Source organism: Homo sapiens, chromosome 20 (genome assembly GCF_000001405.40).
Source record: "Homo sapiens chromosome 20, GRCh38.p14 Primary Assembly".
NCBI classification, from domain to species: Eukaryota; Metazoa; Chordata; class Mammalia; order Primates; family Hominidae; genus Homo; species Homo sapiens.
In genome coordinates this window covers 3,829,631-3,837,830 of record NC_000020.11, presented here as the reverse complement: position 1 = coordinate 3,837,830, position 8,200 = coordinate 3,829,631, and the positions used below count along the sequence as shown (strand labels likewise).

At 45.2% G+C, this 8,200-nt stretch overlaps 1 annotated feature.

The window, feature by feature from the left end:
* Window positions 6,355–6,855: an enhancer, noted in NCBI's record as "H3K27ac hESC enhancer chr20:3811623-3812123 (GRCh37/hg19 assembly coordinates)". NCBI's record gives its function as "activates a minimal SCP1, AML or CMV promoter by ChIP-STARR-seq in naive H9 embryonic stem cells {active_cell/tissue: H9 hESC(naive)}" and the evidence as "EXISTENCE:reporter gene assay evidence [ECO:0000049][PMID:30033119]".

Sequence of the window (8,200 nt, the reverse complement as noted above, 5' to 3'; positions counted from 1 at the left end):
GTGCAGAGACTCACCCCTGTAATCCCAGCACTTTGGGAGGCCGAGGCAGGCAGATTACTTGAGCTTAGAAGTTTGAGACCAGCCTGGGCAACATGGCAAAACCCTGTCTCTACCAAAAGTACAAAAAGAAAATTAGCTAGGGCCAGGCATGGTGGCTCACACCTGTAATCCCAGCACTTTGGGAGGCCAAGGTGGGCGGATAACCTGAGGTCGGGAGTTCGAGACCAGCCTGACCAACATGGAGAAACCCCATCTCTACTAAAAATACAAAATTAGTCAGGCAATGCCTGTAATTCCAGCTACTCAGGAGGCTGAGGCAGAAGAATCGCTTGAACCCGAGAGGCGGAGATTGCGGTGAGCCGAGATAGCGCCATTGCACTCCAGCCTGGGCAACAAAAGCGAAACTCCGTCTCACAAAAAAAAAAAAGAAAAAAGAAAGAAAAAGAAAAGAAAATTAGCCAGGCTTGGTGGCACATGCCGGTGGTCCCAGCTACTCGGAAGCCTGAGGGGCCGAGGTGGGAAAATTGCCTGAGCCTGGGAGGCAGAGGTTGCAGTGAGGCGAGATCATGCCATTGCACCCCAGCCTGGGCAACAGAGTGAGACCTCATCTCAAAAAAAGAAAAAAAAAAAGCTTTTAAAAATACAATTTTATTAAGATAGGATCTCGCTTTGTTGCCCAGGCTGCTCTCAAACTCCTGGCTTCAAGCGATCCTTTTGCCTCGGCCTCTCAAAGTGCTGGGATTATAGGCATGTGCCACTGTACCCAGCCTGAAAACAGTTTAAAAATAAGGAGTAGCGTGAAAGCTGATGAGAAGCTGAGGCCCCAGGAGGAGACTAGGAGTGGGGAAACCCCACTGGGTGGAATGGGCAAGAGACTCAGGGGAAAGGTAGCATGTAACAATCAATTGTAAGTTTTTTTGCTCTGTCATTCTGTAAGATGACTCTCCTCTATCCCCCTAAATTCTTCTAACAGTTGGCTATACCCAAATGTCTGTTTCTTTAGGGACATCGAGGAAAAGATCTTCGTTTAGACAGACAGCAGGGCAGGGAGAAGAGCCGTATGTCCTGACCCCAAGTGAGACTGACAATGCCATAGAAGCAGAAAGCTAATGTACATAATGCCTAGGAGACATACGTCCCCTTGAGAAGCCCAGAAATGCTGGAGTACTAGGCATCCCATTGCAGGTAGGATGAGGACTCAGGAACTTCCATTTGCACACTAAGGGATGGAGCAATTCCATAATGGTGGAGGACCTGGAACTGACCAGAAGGCATAGACGTGAGTCACACAAGTGAACCTCCTGAATTTCACAGCTTGCAGCCTCTCTCCTTAGTTAAACTAAAGTGGGTCTTCCCTACGGAGCTACATTGTAGTCCCTACTTTACTGCAAGTAAGAGATACATCTTCAGGAAGCAGTTTTTCTTTTCTAGTGCTTTCTGAGATGCGCCAAATTAAAAGGATTAAAGGGGTGGGGACAATATAGCTACAATTGATAGGCAAAGAAGAGCCAACTAGTGCATAATTGGAATTCCTAGATGAGACAGAAACAATGAAATACAATACCTATTTAAAGATATACATTGGGAGGCTGAGGTGGGCAAATCAAGAGGTCAAGAGATCGAGACCATCCTGGCCAACATGGTGAAACCCCGTCTCTACCAAAAATACAAAAATTAGCTGGGCATGGTGGTGTGTGTCTGTAGTCCCAGCTACTCAGGAGGCTGAGGCAGGAGAATCGCTTGAACTCTGAAGGCATAGGCTGCAGTGAGCTGAGATTGCGCCACCGCACTCCAGCCTGGCGACAGAGCAAGACTCCGTCTCAAAAACAAATAAAAATAAGATATAATTCTGGAAAATACTTCTGAAGTAAAAAAGGACTTCAATCTACTTTTGAAAAAACACAGTATGGGCCGGGCGTGTTGGCTCACGCCTGTAATCCCAGCACTTTGGGAGGCCGAGGCGGGCGGATCACCTGAGGTCGGGAGTCTGAGACCAGCCTGACCAACGTGGAGAAACCCCATCTCTACTAAAAATACAAAATTAAACGGGCATGGTGGCGCATGCCTGTAATCTCAGCTACTCGGGAGGCTGAGGCAGGAGAATTGCTTGAACCTGGGAGGTGGAGGTTGCGGTGAGCCGAGATCGAGCCATTGCACACTTCGGCCTGGGCAACAAGAGCGAAACTCCGTCAAAAAAAAAAAAAAAAAAAGAATAAACACACTATGTTTGCACTATGAGATACATTCTAATAATGTTACTGAAATGTAAAGATGAATCTTTGGGGCACTCAGGCAGAAAGATCAAGTATAAAGGCTCTAAAAAGATTTTTTTTTTTTTAGACAGAGTTTCGCTCTTGTTACCCAGGCTGGAGTGCAATGGCGCAATCTCGGCTCACTGCAACTTCCATCTCCTGGGTTCAAGTGATTCTCCTGCCTCAGCCTCCCAAATAGCTGAGATTACAGGTATGTGCCACCACGCCCAGCTAATTTTTCGTATTTTTAGCAGAAACAGGGTTTCACCATGTTAGCCAGGCTGGTCTCAAACTCCTGACCTCAGGTGATCCACCCTCTTTGGCCTCCCAAAGTGCCGGGATTACAGGCATGAGCCACCGTGCCCAGCCAAAAATAATTTTTTAACATACAAGAACTCAAAAATATTGTTCTCACGAAGTCATGTAAAAATAGGGAATTAAGAAGGAAAAAAAGTGAAACTACAGATTTCTAGAAAATGTCAACAGTGAAAACACCACATCAGAACATATGGGATACAACTAAAGCTGTATCATAGGAAAATTCATAACTTAAAGACTAATGTCATTTTCTAAGACTGCAAACAAATGACTTAAGCACCCCTAAAGAGGTATGGATATACTAAATGAAAACAGAAGGAAACAGTTCATGAAAATAAAAGCCTAAAATAATGAGGTAATGCTGGGTTTTATTTCTTTTTTGTTTCTGTTTTTGGAGACATAGTTTCACTCTTGTTGCCCAGGCTGAGTGCAATGGCGCGATCTAAGCTCACCACAACCTCTGCCTCCCGGGTTCAAGTGATTCTCCTGCCTCAGCCTCCCAAGTAGCTGGGATTACAGGCATGCACCACCACATCCAGCTAATTTTGTATTTTTAGTAGAGACAGGGTTTCTCCATGTTGGTCAGGCTGGTCTCAAACTCCCGACCTCAGGTGATCTGCCCACTTCGGCCTCCCAAAGTGCTGGGATTACAGGCGTGAGCCACCACACCCAGCTGGTTTTTATTTCTTAAATGAAATGACAGGTACTTGGATGCTCATTATATAATTCTAAGCACCTTTTTGTAAATGTGAAATATGGTAGTTCACAATAACTTTTAGGTTTGCTAAATTAACTATAATCTAGCCACATGATGGATAAGAACTTAAAAGAATACAGATGCTGTCTCTGTAGTGCTATGACAAAAATATCCAGGATACACTGGTGAGTGAAAAAAGCAAGTGATGGCCAGGTGTGTGGTGGCTCACGCTTGTAATCCCAGCACTTTGGGAGGCTGAGGTGGGTGGATCACTTGAGGTCAGGAGTCCGAGACCAGCCTGGCTAACATGGTGAAACCCCGTCTCTACTAAAAATACAAAAATTAGCCAGGCATGGTGGTGTGCACCTGTAATCCCAGCTACTCAGGAGGCTGAGGCAGTAGAATCGCTTGAACCCGGGACGTGGAGATTGCAGTGAGCCGAGACTGCGCCTAAGTAGCTGGGATTACAGGCGTGTACCACCATTCCTGGCTTATTTTTGTATTTTTAGTAGAGACGTGGTTTCTGCCATGTTGGCCAGCCTTGTCTTGGACTCCTGACAGAGGGAGGGAAGGAGGGACGGAGGGAAGGAAGGAAGGAACGAAGGAAAGAAGGAAGGAAGGAACGAAGGAAGGAAGGAAGGAAGGAAGGAAGGAAGGAAGGAAGCAAGGAAACTACAGACCAGTATCTCTTGTGAACATAGATGCAAAACTCCTCAACAAAATAGTAGCAAATCAAATCCAGTAATGTATAAAAATAATTACTCAAAATGACCAAGCGGGATTTATTCCAGGTATGTGAGGCTAGTTCAACATTTGAAAATCAATTAAGATAATCAATTACATTGACAGGCTAACGATGTAAAATTGCATTATCATACCAATAAAAGCAGAAAAAGCATGTGGCAAAGTCCAACCACCATTTACAATAAAAACTCTCAACAAACTAGGAAATAAGAGAACTTCACAAGTTGATAAAGAACATTTACAAAAATCATACTTAATGGTGAGAAACTGGAAGCTTTCCCACTAAGGTCAGGAACAAGGCAATAATGTCCTAACAACTCATTTTCAATGTTGTACCAAAAGTCCTAGCTAATGTAGAAAATCTGAAAGAATCAACAAAAACAAACCAACAAAAACTCTTGGAACGAATAAGCATTACAGCAAGATTGCAAGACACAACATTAATATACAAAAGTCAATTGCTAAGCTGGACGAAGTGGCTCATGCCTGTAATTCCTGCACTTTGAGAGGTCAAGGCAGGCGGATCTATTGAGTCCAGGAGTTTGAGATTAGCCTTGGCAACCTCCCTGTAGGAAGACCTTATCTCTATTAAAAAAAGAAAAACTCAGCCGGGTGTGGTGATTCACACCTGTAATCCCAGCATTTTGGGAGGCTGAGGTGGGTGGATCACTGGGTCAAGAGATTGAGACCATCCTGGCCAACATGGTGAAACCCCGTGTCTATTAAAAATACAAAAATTAGCTGGGCATGGTGGTGCGCACCTGTAGTACCAGCTACTCGGGAGGCTGAGGCAGGAGAATCGCTTGAACCCGGGAGGTGGAGGTTGCAGTGAGCTGAGATGGTGGCACTGCACTCCAGCCTGGGCAACAGAGCGAGACTCCGTCTCAAAAAAAAGGAAAAAAATGGTGCCCAGGCACGATGGCTCACGCCTGTAATCCCAGCACTTTGGGAGGCCAAGGTGGGTGGATCACTTGAGATCAGGATTTTGAGACCAGACTGGCCAACATAGTGAAACCTCGTCTCTACTAAAAACACAAAAATTTAGCTGGGCATAGTGGTGCACATCTGTAATCTCAGCTACTTGGGAGGCTGAGGTGGGGGGATCACTTGAGCCCAGAAGGCACAGGCTGCAGTGAGCCAAGACTGCGCCACTGCACTCCAGCTTGGGCAACAGAGTGAGACCCTGTCTCAAAAAAGAAAAAAAAGTCAATTGCTTTCACTTATACAAGCAATCAGCAAGTGCAATGTTTTTTTTTTGTTTTTTTTTGTTTTTTTTTTTTTTGAGACAGAGTTTCACTCTGTTGCCCAGGCTGGAGTACAGTGGCGCGATCTCGGCTCACCGCAAGCTCCGCCTCCCGGGTTCATGCCATTCTCCTGCCTCAGCCTCCCGAGTAGCTGGGACTACAGGCGCTCACCACCACACCCAGCTAATTTTTTTGTATTTTTAGTAGACACGGGGTTTCACTGTGTTAACCAGGATGGTCTCGATCTCCTCACCTTGTGATCCGCCCGCCTCAGCCTCTCAAAGTGCTGGGATTACAGGAGTAAGCCACTACGCCCAGCTTTTTTTTTTTTTTTTTTTTGAGACAGTTTCACTCTGTCACCCAGGCTGAAGTGCAGTGGCATGATCTCAGCTCACTGGACCTCCACCTCCCAGGTTCAAATGATTCTCCTGCCTCAGCCTCCCAAGTAGCTGGGATTATAGGCATGTACCACCACTCCTGGCTAATTTTTGTATTTTTAGTAGAGACACGGTTTCTGCCATGTTGGCCAGGCTGGTCTCGGATTCCTGACCTCAGATGATCTACCCACCTTGGCCTCCCAAAGTGCTGGGATTATAGGCATGAGCCACTGTGCCCAGCCAAGTGCAATCTGATATTAAAACCACATTACCCACTTTGGAAGGCCAAGGTGGGAGGATTGCTTGAGCTCAGGAGTTGAAGGCCAGCTTGGACAACATAGCAAGACCCTGTCTCTACTAAATATTTAAAATTTAGCTGGGTGTGGTGGTGCATGCCTGTGGTGGGAAGATCACTTAGCCAGGGAGGTCCAGGCTGCAGTGAGCTGTGATCACACTACTGTACTGTAGCCTGGGTGACAGAGTAAAGACCTTGTCTCCAAAAAAAAAAAAAAAAAAAAATATATATATATATACACACACACACACACACACCACACACACACATATATATATAGATATATATATATGAAGAAAAAAGTTAAAGATTGACACTGCCTGACTTCAAGACTTACTATAAAGTTACAGTAATCAAGATAGTGGGCCAGGTGCAGTGGCTCACGCCTGTAATCCCAGCACTTTGGGAGGCCGAGGCGGGCAGATCACAAGGTCAGGAGATCAAGACCATCCTGGCTAATACGGTGAAACCCCGTCTCTGCTAAAAATACAAAAACAAAATTAGCCAGGTGTGGTGGCGGGCGCCTGTAGTCCCAGCTACTCAGGAGCCTGAGGCGGGAGAATGGCGTAAAGCTGGGAGGCGGAGCTTGCAGTGAGCCGAGATTGCGCCACTGCACTCCAGCCTGGGCGACAGAGTGAGACTCTCTCTCAGAAAAAAAAAAAAAAAAAAAAAAAAAACCTTGAAAAAAGATAGTGTGGTGGCCAGGCACAGTGGCTCATGCCTATAATCCCAGCATTTTGTGAGGCTGAGGTGGGCAGATTACCAGAGGTCAGGAGTTTGAGACCAGCCTGGCCAACACGGTGAAATCCCATCTCTAACAAAAATAGAAAAATTAGCCAGGCATGGTGGTGCATGCCTATAGTCCCAGCTACTAGGGAGGCTAAGGCGGGAGGGTGGCTTGAACCTGGAAGGTGGAGGTTGCAGTGAGCCAAGATTGCACCATTACACTCCAGGCTGGGTAAGAGTGAGACTCCATCTCAAAAAAAAAAAAAAAAAAAAATAGTGTAGTATTGGCAAAAGAATAGACAAACAGATTAATGGAACAGAATAAAGAACCCAGGAGAGACCCACATTAATACAGTCAACTGGTCTCTGACAAAGGAGTAAAAGCAATACAATGGAACAAAGATAGAAAGACTCTTTTCAAGAGATTATGTTGGAACAACTGAACATCCACATGCAAAAACATGAATCTACACATAGACCTTACACCCTTCACAAAAATGAACTCAAAATGGATCATAGACCTAAATGTAAAATGCAAAACTGTAAAACTTCTAGTAGATAACATAGGAGAAAATCTAGATGATATTGGATTGGTGATGACTTTTTAAATACAACAGTAAAGGCAGGATCCATTTAAAAAATTGACAAAGAGCTGGGCATGGTGGCTCACGCCTGTAATCCCAGCACTTTGGGAGGCCGAGGCGGGTGGATCACCTGAGGTCGGGAGTTCGAGACCAGCCTAACCAACATGGAGAAACCCTGTCTCTACGAAAAATACAAAATTAGCCAAGGGTGGTGGCACATGCCTGTAATCCCAGCTACTCAGGAGGCTGAGGCAGGGGAATTGCTTGAACCCGGGAGGCGAGGTTGTGGCGAGCCGAGATTGCACCATTGCACTCCAACCTGGGCAACAAGAGAGAAACTCCGTCTCAAAAAAAAAAAAAAAAAAAATTGACAAACTTCATTAATTTTTTTTTTTTTTTTTTGGAAACAAAGTCTTGCTCTGTCACCCAGGCTGGAGTGCAGTGGCACAGTCACAGGTCAGTGCAGCCTTGACCTCCTGGGCTTAAGCAATCCTTCGACCTCAGCCTCCCAAGTAGCTGGGACCACAGGTGTGCACCACACTCAGCCAATTTTTATATTTTTTTGTAGAGATGAAGTCTCTATGTTGTACAGGCTGGTTTCGAACTCCTGGGCTCAAGCAATCCTCCTGCCTTGGCCTCCCAAAGTGCTGGGATTACAGGCCTCATGAGCCACCTCGCCCGGCCCACTTCATTAAATTATATGAAACTGGACTTCATTAAATTTAAAAAGCTCTGCTTTGTGAAAGACACTGTCAAGAGAATGAGAAGACAAGCCACAGACTGGGAGAAAATATTTGCAAAAGGTATATCTGATAAAGAGCTGTTATCCAAAATACACAAAGAACTCTTAAAACTCAACAAAAAGAAATCACCCAAACAAGTTGCCTGTTTTAAAATGGGCAAAAGACTTGAACAGACACCTCACTAAAGATTTACAGATGGCAAGTAAGCATAGGAAAGATA